The sequence below is a fragment of the Homo sapiens genome, chromosome 6, assembly GCF_000001405.40.
Source record: "Homo sapiens chromosome 6, GRCh38.p14 Primary Assembly".
In the NCBI taxonomy this organism is placed as follows: domain Eukaryota; kingdom Metazoa; phylum Chordata; class Mammalia; order Primates; family Hominidae; genus Homo; species Homo sapiens.
The window spans coordinates 21,909,995-21,926,611 of NC_000006.12; the positions used below are offsets into that span (position 1 = coordinate 21,909,995).

General features: G+C 41.9%; 1 long non-coding RNA gene across 1 annotated transcript in view, besides 2 other annotated features; it reads left to right on the plus strand.

Moving 5' to 3' along the window:
- CASC15 (cancer susceptibility 15) overlaps nucleotides 1-16,617 on the plus strand; it is a 529,408-nt gene that overhangs the window by 243,582 nt on the left and 269,209 nt on the right. The window lies entirely within an intron of this gene.
- Nucleotides 4,213-4,262: an enhancer, noted in NCBI's record as "active region_24145". NCBI's record gives its function as "activates an Ori minimal core promoter by ATAC-STARR-seq in GM12878 lymphoblastoid cells {active_cell/tissue: GM12878}" and the evidence as "EXISTENCE:reporter gene assay evidence [ECO:0000049][PMID:35858748]".
- Nucleotides 15,851-15,960: an enhancer, noted in NCBI's record as "active region_24146". NCBI's record gives its function as "activates an Ori minimal core promoter by ATAC-STARR-seq in GM12878 lymphoblastoid cells {active_cell/tissue: GM12878}" and the evidence as "EXISTENCE:reporter gene assay evidence [ECO:0000049][PMID:35858748]".

Consider the following 16,617-nt stretch of genomic DNA (forward strand, 5'->3'; position numbering starts at 1 on the left):
ATGTTGGCCTGGCTGGTCTCGGACTCCTGACTTCAGATGATCCACCCGCCTCAGCCTCCCGAAGTGCTGGGATTACAGGCATGAGACGCCACGCCTGGCAAACATGAGCCACCACACCCGGTGGAGATTTTCATTAAAAACGTTAGTATGTCAATCCTGGTTTCATCATGCAGACACCCTGCTAAATTTTATACATCTTTCTTCCATGCTTTCTGCTCTTGATATTCTTATATCAAGACATCAGAGAAACTTCGTGGCTTATTTGTAGAACTCAGTTTCTTTTTACAAGGTTAAAGAATTATCAAGAATTGGGAGTTGGCTGGGGGCAGTGGCTCATGCCTGTAATCCCAGCGTTTTGGATGGCCAAGGCGGGTGGATCAGGAGGTCAAGAGATCGAGACCATCCTGGCCAACATGGTGAAACCCTGTCTTTGCCAAAAAGGCAAAAATTAGCTGGGCGTGGTGGCGCACACTTGTAGTACCAGCTACTCGGAAGGCTGAAGCAGGAGAATCACTTGAACCCAGGAGGCAGAGGTTGCAGTGAGCTGAGATCGCACCACCGCACTCCAGCCTGGGTGACAGAGCAAGACTCTGTCTCAAAAAAAAAAAAAAAAAAAAGAATTAGGAGTGTTGGCTGGGTGCGGTGGTGACTCACACCTGTAATCCCAGCACTCTGGGATGCTGAGGCAGGTGGATCACTTGAGCCCAGGAGTTTGAGACCAGCCTGCGCAGCATAGCGAGACCTTGTCTCTGCAAATAATACAAAAATTAGTTGGATGTGGTGACGCATGCCTGTGATTCCAGCTTCTCTGTAGGGTGAGGTGGGAGGTGGGAGGATCACTTGAGCTTGGGAGGTTGAGGCTGCAGTGAGCCGAGATTGCACTCCAGTCTGGGTGACAAAGTGGGACACTCTCAAAAAAAAAAAGAAGTGTAATGATAAATACAGCAATATTTTTAGGGTGGGGTGGAGTGTACACAAAACGACTAGCCTGTGTTCATACTTAAAAAAAGTAACAAAGAACAAGAATTTCATACTTCATAAAAGTAAAAAAAGAACAAGAATCTGAAGGCTGTATCTGACATTTAGTGTATCATCATCACTTTGGAATTGCATGCTGTTCAGAGCTTTCCTGTTGCGCCTAATGTGATGGGGTCTTCTGACTTGTCATTGTTGATAACATTAGATTCATGAAAACTGAGTAGCACCCATGATATTTTTATGTTACAAATATTAATTTCAGCTTTGACTTTGGTGGTGGCAGTAGACTTCTCATATTAGAGATTACAATAAAATGTTAATAGTTCCAAGCTCTTCCTCCTCTCCCATCATGTCAGGTGACTAAAACATTCCCACAAATAACTGATACCTTTTTAATGGGACCTTTGGGTTCATAAGAGGTAAATATTGATGACCTTGACATTTTTTCATATGTGTACAGTTCAGGAGGCACAATGTCTCCAGATAACTAAAAGCAGGTGAACAAGTAGGTAGACAGCCATGGGCTCCCACTGATCCCCGTAATTCACAGGGGCCCTGGCCTTGCTTCTGGAGCAAAAGCATAGGCAAAGGAATCTATAAGTTTAGGTCCTGTAGGTATTTCTGTAGGCAAATCTCACTGGACTGGGTGTGTTTTAGTCTGGCATTTTAATAAGATGTTTTCTAAGGCAAATATATGAGTCTCCTCCCTTACCCCTGTGAAACTAAGGACTCTAGTACTAACTACCAGGGTAATATTGTATAGTAGCTAAGTGCTTGGGAGCCGAATTCCCAGGTTTAAATCCCAGTTCTGTCACCACTAGCAATGTGACCTTAGGTAAATTATTTAACCTCTTTCAGCTTTAATTTCCTCAGCTAGAAGATGAGGATAATAATAATACTTAGGTTTTCTTTTCTTTTTTAAATAATTAAATGAGAGCTATCCAATTGTGATTAGCATGTTAGTAAAGATTTCTGAAATATTATTCATTAACCAGCTTTCAGGTATCCTGTGCTCACAGAGACTAACCTACAAAGCTGATGAGGTCTACAGCTTAAGAAAATTTTCTATTTGGAGTATACACTCAGTTACATGAAAATTGCGTATGGAAAAAGATGAGAATGTAGCACTGATTTTGCAAAACGTTTTAGAAAGTTTTATTTCGCTGCTTGTCTTAAAAGTAATTTTTCTGGTTTTATGTAATGTGTGTATTAGAAATGGGAATATTGGAATACTTACTTCATTGTATTGTCAAGCATTATTGGTAGCCCTAATTTATATATCCATTGTGCTGCAGTTTCAGTTGCAGAACTGCCATCTGCAGGGATTATTATAGCACTTGAGGGGATGGAATTACTGCACTCTGTTTTGGATACTTTTTTCACTAAGAAGTATGGGCACCATGAGATGGTACTTACCCATCTGTCTGTTGAAGCATTTGTATGTATATTACCTGAGCACTTAGGCACACCACCGAGGGGGGATTTCAAATGGAAGGGAAAAAGGAAAAATTGAAAATAAAATAACACGATGGAAATAACAGAAGCCTCTTTGCAAAGAATACCTAAACTATTCTTAAAAGCAGACTTAACAGCCAGTACAAAACCATTCACTATTGTCTTTAAGAGACGAAGCTCAATCCACAAAGTTGAAAGTGAAGTGTGAATCTGGAAGTTTTCCAGGAAAGTCAAGCATTACAGACTTCTAGGGCTCAAATTCAAGGGAGAAAAAAAAGTCCATTTTACAAAGTAACTTCTTACATTGATTGTGAGCTGTCAATGTTTGATGGGTAGATCCTGAAACATTAACTGATTAAATTCTTCAATGCTATGCGGTCATATTGGTGGCCTCCGCTGTTCTGAGCTTCTAAATTTGTGTATCGACACATGGGAATTCACTAAATGTGCAGCAGAGAGCAGAGTGGAACATTGTGGCATCAGCTTGAAATTTCCTAAAGAGAACCAGTGGAATGATGTTGAAATCAATTGAAATATTATTTATTGATTGCCTATGTTTTATAGCACCTAATAAATTGTCCAATCCCTTAAAAACACTCCATCTGCCTAATTCTCCATTTCCAGTTGCAGCAGATACAAGGATACAAAGATACTCTGTACTGGTAGAGAGGGATGATTTCAGGTTTTCTTCACAGCACCGGGCTCCCTGACAGCTATTCTTCGTGCTTGTGCACACTCACAGTTTTCAATTTCAGTTGGGACAAGAGAAGTGTTTTTCTCCCATATTCAGTTGTCTTGGTATTTTTTACCCTGACGGCCTCCCCTACCCTCCAACACATGTGCTTCCTCAGAGCTTCTTCATCCATATGCTAAGAGTGGGGTGTGGCTTCTCAGCATTTTGTGTTTCACTGCACACCTGGAAACCTATGGGCTAATGACCCTGTGAGAATTTGGGTGGTAAGGAGGCTGCAGAGATCAGCTTCCTTTTATAGATGTAGAAACTGAGGCCTGGAGAGGTGAAGAAATTCATCTGAGATCATTCAGCCAACAAATATCAGGACAGCACCTCTAACGTCAGTGCAATTTCAGCTTTTCCACTAAGGTATACTGGGAGGAGTGCAGTGGTATGTACCGGGCTGAGTCCTGGTTAAGGGGTTATAGTGGACTGACCAAGGAGTGAAAGAAAAAGAATATAGTGGCCGGGTGCAATGGTTCATGCCTGTAATCCTTGCATTTTGGGAGGCTGAGGTGGACGGATCACCTGAGGTCAAGAGTTTGAGACCAGCCTGGCTGACATGGCAAAACCCTGTCTCTACTAAGAATACAAAAATTAGTCGAGTGTGGTGGCACATGCCTGTAACCCCAGCTACGTGGGAGGCTGAGGCAGGAGAATCGCTTGAACCTGGGAGGCAGAGACTGGTGAGCCGAGATCGAGCCACTGCACTCCAGCCTGGGCAACAGAGTGACTCTGTCTCAATTAAAAAAAAAAAAAAAAAAAAAAAAAGAACACTGAATCAGGGTTTGGGTCAGGGTTTGTTTGAGGTTGTATTAGAAGCATATCTTTCGGTCAGGAAGCATGAATATTCTCTCTCTGATATAAGCGAAAAGGAAGAGATTAAAGGCATGACGAAGATCAGGTCTTTTTAAATAGGTGTTTACTTTCTATTGAAACCACGGAACAATGAATATTTATTCATCATCAGGTAATTTGGGGTAATGGAGTATAGACAATTTCTGGTTTTACCTTCTTGCCTCTTTGGGTCCGTGCTGCCTTTTGTTTTGCTTAAAATGGGCTAAAAGAGAAAGCAACTGAAACACTTTCCAGATCTGATAACTTCCGAGATCTCAAGTGAAACCTCTGGCTCGCGTCCAAGGGTGAGGTCACACAGTCTGATATTAGTTGGATTTATGTTGGTGTGTCCACCAAAATACAGAGCAGCACACTGCCATAATTCTTGACAGCCATTTATTAGGTAGGTAGGAATGGCACTTGGGTCAGTTGTATGCTGTGTATTGCCACCCAGAAGCATAGCCGATCCATGGCCATAGGCATTTCTTTTCTTTTTCAGTTGATAGTTTTAAGTTCATGTGGAAAACGTGCCTTTGGTTTTACCTGGTTTTATGCCTTTGGCCTTATCTTTGCTCACTCATACTCTTGAATTCAGATCTGTCTGGACACGTCTGGAGGTCTGGTGTTTTGGTCTCCAACAGTTTGTTTTCATGATTGTCTGAAGTACCTCTGGGAAAGTCCTCATTCTATAGGAAGACAGTTGAATTGGATAAGAAATATCTAAAGCACAAATAGACATTGCTTATGTCTGTCAACAGATGAGAACCTGAAAAAGCCAATTTTTCAAGATGGATCCCAAGTGGCTAAGTGGGCTTAGATTTAACATAGAGTCAAGCAGCCATTTGCTGACTTGAGGCCCCACACATACTCTGAGTTCCCCCAAACCCTGGAAACCCCCACATCTTTTTAACTTTGGGACGTTGAGAACTCACCTGAACCAACCAATCAAAGCTCAGCTGTATTGACCAATCAGGGCTCAGCTGTATCAACCAATCAACAGAACTCACTTGTGTCAATCAATAGGAACTAAACAAGTTTCAGATCTTTGAATTAACAGACTCGATTGGAAACTTGGGTGGGAACATTTGCTGTAAAATCCAAACCCTCTTGTTGTTCTCTGGAATGCACCTTCCTTTTACACCAAAGCGTATTTCTCCAGTTTGCAGACTGTTCACTGAAATAAAGTCTCTTTTCTCCAAATTCCTTTTCAGAGAACTTTTGTTCACATCTTATACAAAACAGTAAGTAGCTGTTAAGTATATAGATATGGATAGTGACATTTATTAGATGCTTATTGTATGCTGTGTACCAGACATTTATTAGATGCTTATTGTATGCTATGTACCATTTTAACTGCTTTACAGATCTTCGCAGCAACGCTTTGAAGCTCGTGCTCTTATGATTTCATTTTACAAACAAGAAACTGAGAAACAGAAAAGTGAATAGGAGCTTGTACAGTCTCAAAGAGCTTACAGTGGAGTTAGAAAGTTAATACTCAACTCATTCATTCAACAAGCTGAATGCCTACTAGCAATTTGAGTTTATGAAAGTTTATGTACCTCTTTAAGGCTTGCCCAAAGGAGCTCACAATCGAATAGAGGGATGTTTATGTAAACCAAAGTTGAAAAATGTGTTAATAGACAGAAAGAGGATTCCAAGGGAAGCATGCTGCCAATCACTTGGATTACTTTCCAGTCGAACAGAATCATGTTGGAAACCTAGGGAGAATGGGCTGTGTTAAAAGTGAAAGCAAAATCTCAAGATGACTGATTTACCAAAATCTGTGTGCCACATTGAGTATGTTAAGTGGCATCAGTAACTACATCAGGGACAGGGTTGGCAGTAGAAGAGAAAGTGGCTTGTGCAGCCTTGGGAAGTGACATCACTGGGAGCTCAGCAGCTAAATCAGTATCTTGGCCATTAGCACTTTTGACACTGGTTCTCACTGGCAGATACCACTGGATGGGACCGAGCAGGAGAGGAGGAAAGTGGCAGATACTATGTGATGGCTGAGAAGCAGTGTTGATGAGCTTATTAGTCATCTCCTGGCAAGTCCATGACATTTGCTTATGTTGATGGGGGGTGTGTGGGATGGGAGGAAGAGAACTGACAATTAAGGAGGCAGAAAATTCCTAGTAACATAATCTTGCACTTCAGTTTTGTATGTGTTTTGGGACATAAATTCCAGACAGTGTGAGTTAGCAGATGAGTGTTCTAGGCATATTCCTGTGCCTCAGCTCCTCTGTAGAATGGTGCTGGCAATACAGTTTGCCTCATTGGGCTCTTGTAAGCTTTAAATAGGTTATTATACATAAAGAGCTAATAGTGATGCCTGTAGCCGTTGTCTAAGTGCTAGCTCTGATGATGGTGACAAAGAAGTAATAGCAATCAGTGGTTTAGATTAAACCATTTTAGGCATAAACTGTTCTGCTAGAATCCAAGGGGAGATTTTTTCCCATCAAGGAGACATAGCTTGTTGGGAAGATAAGACATACCCAATTGCAGAAGTAATTAATTAATTCTTTTTTTTTTTTTTTTTTTTTTTTTTGCGATGGAGTTTCGCTCTTGTTGCCCAGGCTGGAGTGCAATAGCATGATCTCGGCTCACCACAACCTCTGCCTCCTGAGTTCAAGTGATTCTCCTGCCTCAGCCTCCCGAGTAGCTGAGATTACAAGCATGTGCCACTACACCTGGCTAATTTTGTATTTTTAGTAGAGACGGGTTTTCTCCATTTTGGTCAGGGTTGTCTTGAACTCCCAACCTCAGGTGATCCACCTGCCTCAGCCTCCCAAAGTGCTGGGATTACAGGTGTGAGCCACTGCGCTGGCCGAATAATTAATTCTTAACATCTAATTTCCTACCTGTGCACACTTATCCAGCCCAGGATTACCTTTTAGTACCTCTTCTTATGCATCCTCATTCTCTCTAGCCATGCCAGATGACCCCAGAGACCTAGATTAGGTTCTCTTATGTGTTCATGCATTCACATAAGCCATTGTAATCAGTCTAGAGTTCCTTTCTCCTTTGATCTGCCTGTTGAAATGGACATCCTTTCTGCAAAATCCTTCATATTACCCGCCCTAGACCCTCAGTTAATTCAGCTGTCACTGCATTGCCATGGTGCCCTGAACATGCCTTTTGGAAAATTGTTTTACCTGCGTATTTCTCTACTAGATTATGAACTCCCTGGGAGAAATTTATATATATTTTCATATTTCAGATTCGATGTAGTTGCCTTATGGAATAAATGAGTGAATATTTTTCTAACTCCATGGTAAACTGTTTTGAGACTGGATCTGTTAATTTTTCTGAGGCTGTTTTTTTTTTTTTTTGGCCTATAAAATGGGTTATTTATAAGCAGGAAGTACAGTGGTTAGAACAAAATGATAACTCACTGAATGTTGGTTATTTCTATGAACATAACTTTCAAATATTTGTATTCAGTCCAAACATTGTTTGGATTACATTAAGGTAACAAAAATGGCTACTTTTTATGTTCTGTTCTTCCTGAACTCTTAACTTCCCTGATTTATGAAAGGACTCTTCCTCCACTCCTCTCAGACATGCTTCCCTGGGGCCATTTACCTCCCACTAAAAATCAAATGAAGCTAATCTCCCTGGCTTGATATTGATTCCATCTAGTCCAGAGAGAATATGCTAATCACCTTTGCTAAGTGCTTTCTGGCTAAAGGTGTAAAAGCCTGATTCCATTTGAGGGGAAAAAATTGAAATTTCTGTCTTAAAATTTGTGATTATGGAATTTGCATTTTGAAAGGCGATAGTAGCTCAAATTTAACGAGCCATTTGTAGTGGATTGAGCATAAATTTTCATGGCTCGTTTGGATAAAAACTACACCAAGGCATAGATTTCTATGACTATAGTATTTAATTTTGTTAAATTCAATTTAATGCCTACAAAAATAGTGGAAATCCCTTTTTTCTCCTCTATCAGTGGCATGTTTTTTGTACATGTTTAAAGCTACTCATTTTCAAAAAGCAAAGACCATTTTAAAGACTGCTACTTAAGGCTGTCAGGCTGCCTCAGTTTCTTCGTCAATGAGTCTAACCTAGGCCACCTGCATACTTCCCTGGAGTGTTTAGATGAATGGCTCTGAGCTTGTAAAGTACTTTGAATTTCCTGGATGAAAGGGTCCCTGTAAGTACAGGTCTTATGAAGGTATTATAGCTGGGCTTTTAAAACTGCCGCACAGCCTGTTTTGCAAGAACACTAATGCACTTCTGGGTTTAGAGTTGTAAAAAGATGTGTGTTCAGAAGCCTCAGGCTTCGTCTTGTGCGGTTCCTGAGGCATGTGCCGCTGCTTGTTTACTTCTAGCATAGATTGTCTCCACACTACAGGGATGTACAGGTGTGCACTTGCACAGCGACCATCTGGGCTTAGGATCACCTAGGATCACATTTGGCTGCCGTGGTATTGAGGAGAAAACACAGGTTGCAAGGAGAGAGGACGGGCTGTTCCTGGCCCCATGGCCTCAACTCTTGGGATCCTCCAGGATTTCTGTAATCACGGTGGGGAAGCACGCACAAAAGTGCTCTGAAGTGGTTGAAGTGAGGGAGGGGTTCGCCCTAGGTACCGATGCTTGGATTATGAAGAACTGGGTTTGGGTTCTAGCTCTTCCAGCTCCTAGCCCTGTGCCCTCAGGCAGGTCAGCTGCCCTGAGCCTCAGTTTCTCTGATGGGCAGTCTTGCCCCTAACATTTGTGGTGCCCGGGGCTAGAATGTGAATGCAGGACCACATACTCTGTATGTAAATATTTAAAAGTTACAAATCAAACAAAAAAGTGTCAAAACATGTTTGGAAATTTTTCTGTTCTGACAAATACACCTTTATAACCATCTTGAAGGGCAGGTTTGAATTTTGAGTTTTCAGATTCTTAGCCAACTTCCATGCCTGACCAGGTAGTGTGGGTGGGAGCAGGAATCTAGTCGTCATGCTTGTGGACAGCGTGGTCTGTATGTCTGCTGGACCCACCCTTCACCCTGTGGGCCTCGGGATTCTATATTGAGGATTGTCTATCTTGGGGGAGTGTGTGGAGGGAACATCTGCACAGGCCTTATAAATGAGCATGGGCTGTTGGGATAAGGAACTCTGGGGCCCGAGCACCTGGCACATGATCCAGAACAGGATTTTTGGGTTCCGATGGGCAGGTGACTTTAGTCCTCACTCTGTGGGCAGGGGCATTACAGCATAGGGGTCCCTTTTGTCAGGGATTTATGATGGCATCACACGCAGGATTCAGAGAGCATTAATTGAAAAATACATATGATTGGCTGGGCGTGGAGGCTTATGCCTGTAATCCCAGCACTTTGGGAGGCTGAGGTGGGTGGATCACCTGAGGTCGGGAGTTCGAGACCAGTCTGACCAACATGGAGAAACCCTTTCTCTACTAAAAATACAAAATTAGCCGGGCGTGGTGGCACATGCCTGTAATCCCAGCTACTAGGGAGGCTGAGGCAGGAGAATTGCTTGAACCTGGGAGGCGGAGGTTGCAGCGAGCCGAGATTGTGCCACTGCACTCCAGCCTGGACAATAAGAGCGAAACTCCATCTCAAAAAAAAAAAAATAAAAAAATACATATGATTGTGCTTTTTTTTTTTTTTTTTTTTCCTGAGACTGAATCTTGCTCTGTCACCCAGGCTGGAGTGCAGTGGCACGGTCTCGGCTCACTGCAACCTCTGCCTCTTGGGTTGAAGTGATTCTCCTGTCTCAGCCTCCCAAGTAGCTGGGATTACAGATGTGTGCCACCACACCCGGCTAATTTTTGTATTTTTTGGTAGAGATGGGGTTTTACCATGTTGGTCAGGCTGTTCTCAAACTCCTGACCTCGTGATCCGCCTGCCTCGGCCTCCCAAAGTGCTGGTATTACAGGCGTGAGCCACCACGCTGGGCCTGATTGTGCTTTTGTAGTGTTACTGTCACATATATGAAAATAAGTTCTTTCTATCAGAAAGGCTTTATCCTTAACATCAGCCTTAATCACATCAACATTTAGCAGTGCTTGGATTGAGTTATTTTCTGCTGTATAGGATGATCCATCTCTAGGACCGAGCACAGAACTCTGTTTTCACTTAGCTTTTTTGTTTGTTTGTTTGAGATGGAATCTCACTCTGTCACCCAGGCTGGAGTGCAGTGGCACAATCTCAGCTAACTGCAACCTCTGCCTTCCAGGTTCAAACAATTCTCATGCCTCAGCCTCCCAAGTAGCTGAGATTACAGGCATGTGCGACCAGGCCTGGTTAATTTTTTGTATTTTTAGTAGAGACGGGGTTTTGCTATGTTGGCCAGGCTGGTCTCGAACTCCTGGCCTCAAGTGATTCGGCTGCCTCGGCCTCCAAAGTGCTGGGATTACAGTGTTCTCACTTAGCATTTTATTCATTCATTCAATAAGATAAATGCAATAAGTATTTATTGACTATTCCTTTTTTTCCTAAGCATTATTGTAGGTAATAGCAGTAAACAAATAGATACAACTTCCTGTCTTCGTGGAACTAACACTTTAGTAGGAGGAAACAGAAATAAAAAGGATAAATATAAAAATGTGTAGTTTCCTTGAAGATGGCGTCCTCTCTGTTCACTCATTTGCTCCACAAATATATATTATATATCCCTGCCAAGGACTAGGCACTCTGCCTTACTCAGAGGTAAAGATATGGAAAGAGAAATGATCACAAAACTAGAGTGTGGCATTACTCAGGGTTTGTGTGAAGTACTGTTAACTGCAGGAAATCCTTATGCTCTTTGGAATTAATGTTCTAGAATTTTGTCTTTTCCACTTCAATCAAATGATTATTCAGGCCAGGCACGGTGGCTCACGCCTGTAATCCCAGCACTTTGGGAGGCCGAGGCGGGCGGATCATGAGGTCAGGAGATCAAGACCATCCTGGCCAACACGGTGAAACCCCGTCTCTACTAAAAATACAAAAATTATATTTTTGTATTACAGGCGTGGTGGTACATGCCTGTAATCCCAGCTACTCAGTAGGCTAAGACAGGAGAATTGCTTGAACCAGGGAGTCGGAGGTTGCAGTGAACCGAGATCACGCCACAGCACTCCAGCCTGGGCAACAGAGCGAGACTCTGTCTCAAAAAAAAAAAAAAAATGCTTATTCAGTCTCTGCTCTATTTAAGGCATTGTCCTAAGCTTTATGAGGGGTCGAACAAGAATTCATAATTCACAGGAGGTGGTACAGTCATGAGTCACTTAACGACAGGGATATGTTCTGAGAAATGTACCACTGGATAATTTCTTCATTGTGCAAACATCATCGAGTGTGCTTACACAAACCTAGATGGGGTAGCTTACTACACACCTAAGCTAGATGGTACAACCTATTGCTCTTGGGCTACAAACCTTATAGCATGTTACTGTACAAAATATTGTAGGCAATTATGACATAATGCTAGATATGTATGTATCTGAACATATCTAGACATAGAAAAGTTACAGTAAAAATATAAAGGATAAAAAGTAGGGCCAGGCACAGTGGCTCACACCTGGAATCCTGGCACTTTGAGAGGCTGAAGCGGGCAGATCACGAGGTCAGGAGTTCGAGACCAGCCTGGCTAATATGATGAAACCCCCGTCTCTACTGAAAATACAAAAAATTAGCTGGGCATGGTGGCGGGTGCCTGTAGTCCCAGCTACTTGGGAGGCTGAGGCAGGAGAATGGCGTGAACCCGGGAAGCGGAGCTTGCAGTGAGCCGACAAGACGCCACTGCACTCCAGCCTGGGCGACAGAGCAAGACTCCGTCTCAAAAAACAACAACAACAACAAAAAAAAACACAAACACATTGTACAGCTATACAACATTTTCTTTCCTTATATCTGCAAGATTTTTTCCATTTCTAATTTTTTTTTGTAACTTTCTAAACTTTTTTGTTGTTGTTAAAAACTGAGACACAAACACATATGTTACCTTAGGTTTACACAGGTCAGGATCATCAAGACGTCATTGGGCAATAGGAATTTTCAGCTCCATTATAATCTTAAGGGAACACAGACATATGCAGTCCGCGGGCTGAAACGTTGATTGTAAATACAGAACCTTTAGAGTGGTTCTTGGCATATTGTAAGCATTTGAATGTTAACTGTTCTTACTACTTATCTGCCTGTGTCCCTGTCAATGAAGTGAACCCTGGTCCTCTCCTTTCCCCTCTGCTCTGTCTTCTTCAGTGGGGTAGGGAGAAATCCTGCCTGCACCAAGTCACACAGTGGGTGTGTCCTGAAAGAATTCTTTTCATCATCTTGGAATGCTGTCCTTGGGATTCAGCTGACTTCCCTCAATCGGGACTCATACATCAAGAGGTCAGGAGTATAATTATCTCAGCTACTGTGAAGCCACAGAAAAGCACTTGCTGAGTCTGGATGTAAATTTATTGTGAAATTTAACAAAGAAAAAGTCACCTCCTTCTTTCCCTTTCTTCTCTTCAACTCAAATTGCATTTTAAAAGGTCTTCGTTTAGGATAAATAGATGTCATTTATCTACCATTAAAGGGCCTATCCTTCTTGGTTTGGGACATGTAAATACCTTCCTGAAGCACATGAGATGCCTTGGCTATTTACACCCTTTTCTGGGGGCAAGCATGCTTTCGTTCTTTTCTTTGACAATTAAAAATAAAATAAAACAGCTAGAAAGAAAAGTATAAGAAATTGTGGTGAGCCATAATTTTGATTATCAGGAATTTCTCACTCAGTTGATAAAGGGGTCAACCAATCTTCACTGTGTGTTTATCATAATTTATTACCCATGATGGTTTATCCCTCTAAATATGGTTCATCTGTGATATTTACAATAATTTTATGCAGATGTAGGTTACTTTTTGCATATAAACTACAAAAGATGGTGAACTTTCTCTTTTCAAGAAGAAATTCAGGAGGTAGTTTTAGGGGACTTAGTAGAGAGGCTGGTAAACCCTATTTTATGATTTTTAAAAAATAAAAATTTGAATGTAGTTTTAAAAAATATGTTTAAAGCAGAATATTTTGGTTCTGTTTCTAACTAGCTGTATGATCCTGGGCAAGTTAATTAACACATTTGGTTCTTTTTTGTAAAAGAAGTGTGCTAGTTTTCCAATATCTAGGATTTCTTCCAATGATAAAGTTCAGTGATTATATAAAATAAAAAGACTAATCAATTGAAGCTACACAGTGTTTTTAACCTTGTGTATGTATAATCATCATACATTGAAAGCCTTTTACATTGAAAGCCATAATTGAAAGCCTTTTAAAAAAAGTTATTTAAAAAAATTCATGTGCTTGAGTTCTGTCTACTAACATTGTGATTTAGTTTGTCTAGGGCTTGGCCTTGGGAAGTGTTTTTTTTTTTTTTTTTTTTTTGAGATGGAGTCTCTCTCTGTGACCCAGGCTGGAGTGCAGTGGCACGATCTGGGCTCACTGCAACCTCCGCCTTGCAGGTTCAAGCGATTCTCCTGCCTCAGCCTCCCGAGTAGCTGGGACTACAGGTGCCCGCCACCACGCCTGGCTAATTGTTGTATTTTTGGTAGAGACAGGGTTTCACCATATTGGCCAGGCTGGCCTTGAACTCATGACCTAGTGATCTGCCTGCCTTGGCCTCCTGAAGTGCTGGGATTACAGGTGTGAGCCACTGTGCCTGGCTGGGAAGTGTGTTTTTTAATCAAAGTTCCTCAGAGACTCTTCTGATGTACAGTAAGAATTGAGAGTGACTAATTTGCTATCAGTGATTCTTAAATGGAGAGAACATGAGTCCCAGAGAATTTAGGAAACCTCTGGGATTTTTCCAGAGTAAACTGTGTATTTGCACAAATTTTGAAACTGTAACTTAAAGATGTGCATGCCCTCCTATAATTAATAAATCTTGGGTTAAGAGTCTCTGATCCAGGAATCCCTTCCAGGATTCTGTTTTTATGAACTTCTACTAATCAAATTTATTATGTCAAGTAGGATAGGATTATAATGACCACTATGGCCACTGATGTGTCTGGTAGAAAATTCCATTGAGAGCCAGAGACACAGACATTTATGTTGAAACTAGGAAATAATGGAAATAGGGGATTTTTGTGTTTTTTTTTTGGCTTTGGCCTTGTTTACTGAGATTTGACCTTTCCGATAGGTTTCTTGACATCTTTGGAATGCAAAATTGGGGATACTAATATTTGCCACCAGGTAATATTTATTTAATGATGTGAGAACCCAGGGTGTTAGTTGACTGTAACTGTGATTATTAACAGGAAAATGCGATCAGAAATAATGGCACCTTTGTTATCACTGTGATTTTTTTTTTCCAATGGCACTGAAGGAAAAGTGATATTTGTTATCAAATCAGGCAGGGAATTTACAAATGATAACGAGTTAGAGAGGCTGCATTCTTTCTAGTATCTCACTCTACTTGTCACAAGTATCTTTCTCTTATGGAAAGATAAAAACACTTGATTTGGGCCATAAATTCACTCTGTCTTCTATCACCAGGGCCCTAGGAATCCTTGAACAATCTTGACCTCTTCCTATTCTTCTTTGATTGAAAGGATGCTTATTATGTGGTGATAGCTTTAGGAGGGCAAAGGAAAAACAGCAAATATATCAGTACAATTTCCTAAGAAAGGAAGCTTCTGTGGCCTTTTGGAGGGCAGAAATGCATACTTTTTATTGTGATGGTGTTGTGGTGGTGGTGATGATGATGGTGATGGTGAGGGTGGCGGTGATGGAGGTGATGGCAGTGGTGATGATGGCATGGTGGTGGTGGTGATGATGAATGGTGATAGTGATGATGGTGATGGTGAGGGTGAGGGTGGCGGTGATGGAGGTGATGGCAGTGGTGATGATGGCGTGGTGGTGGTGGTGATGATGAATGGTGATAGTGATGATGGTGATGGTGATGGTGAGGGTGGCGGTGATGGAGGTGATGGCAGTGGTGATGATGGCGTGGTGGTGGTGGTGATGATGAATGGTGATAGTGATGATGGTGATGGTGATGGTGAGGGTGACGGTGATGGAGGTGTTGGCAGTGGTGATGATGGTGTGGTGGTGGTGGTGATGATGAATGGTGATAGTGATGATGGTGATGGTGATTTTCCTCCCTCCACCCAACAACTTACACAAGAGCTTTGTGGATAGACCTAAGTGTTAATTGGTTTGGCTAAGAGTAAGCATTAAAAGCAAACACTCCCAATTCCCCAATTTTTCAATGTTAGATTCTAATGGATTTCTTCTGTTTGCAGTTGATTATCCTTGCCTTGATTACAAGTCAATGTTCTAGCAGAGTGAAGTCATTACTGGCCTTAATTTTCACAGCCTGGCACGGTTGGAGACTGCAGTGATAGAAATGGAGTGGCTAAAAAGAATTTAACTTTTTTTATTTTGAAAGTGCTGTGGGACCCTCTCAGCTATAGAATACTTGACAGACCAGATATTTCCGTGTATATACACAGCCTAGCTTTTGAAATAGCAGAATTGGATATACAAATTACTATCTCACTATCCATAGTGGAAAGTGTTCTTTCTGTAGGTTGGGAGCAAGTCTGGCGATTGGTTTAGGGGCGGGTCCAGTGGGCTGGGTCCTGCTTGTCTTCAGTCCCAAGCTTCCTGTTGTACTGTATTTGACCTGAAACTAGCTGCTGATATGACATCATCTTGGGTGTTGCTGGCACATTTTTTTTTTCTTTTCTCAGTAGATGTACACTTAATTATTTTTCCTTTTCAAAACATAATATAGGATGGGTGCACAGTGGCTCATGCCTGTAATCCTAGCACTTTGGGAGGCCACCTCTGGAAAATTGCTTGAGCCCAGGAGTTTGAGACCAGCCTGGGCAATATGGTCAAACCCTGCCTCTACAAAAATAAAAAATAATAAAAATAGCCAGATGTGGTGGCACATACCTATAGTCTCAGCTACTAGGAGGCTGAGGTGGAAGGATCTCTTGAGCCTGCTGTGAGCCGTGATTATGCCACTGCAGTCCAGCGTGGGCCACAGAGCAAGACCCTGTCTCAAAAAATCCGCCCCCCCCAAAACCACACAAAGGAGTTTTGGCTTGCTTTGCATACCCTATAGGTATGTCTGGCTCTTTCTGATGAGTGAGGTATTGTCCTCCTGTTTTCCTCCTTCCAAAGAAGTATCTGTTGACATAATATGCTTTTCAATCATCATTATTATAGAGCAGTCTGAGAAACCTTTAGGGCAAGTCAGGAAACCCCCGGCTTCCAGAGCAACTTTTCAACCCCTGAAAGACAGGCCTAACCAGACAGCAGCAGTTCATGTTTCTGTATTTGTAGAGATTTCGCTAGTGATAATCAAAGACCTCACAGAAGAGTGAAACATTTTATTTAGAATTGTATGTTAGGTGAAGTGAGCAACTCTCCAGGTGTCATTTTCCATCCGTGCACATCAGTCCTGACACGCCAGTGGTATAGTGCGGGAGCTCTTTGCTTAATGCAGAAATGAAGTCAAATTGCTCAGGTCAGCCTCAGCTATTTGGGGCTCTCAGACTCTGCTTTTTTCCCCCATTTCCTGGCTCCTCAGTATCTTTTACAACCCTCTGCTATGAGAGGTTTCTGCTAAGAGGGCTACTACTTTTCATTTTATTGATTGATTGATTGAGATGGAGTCTTGCTCTGTTG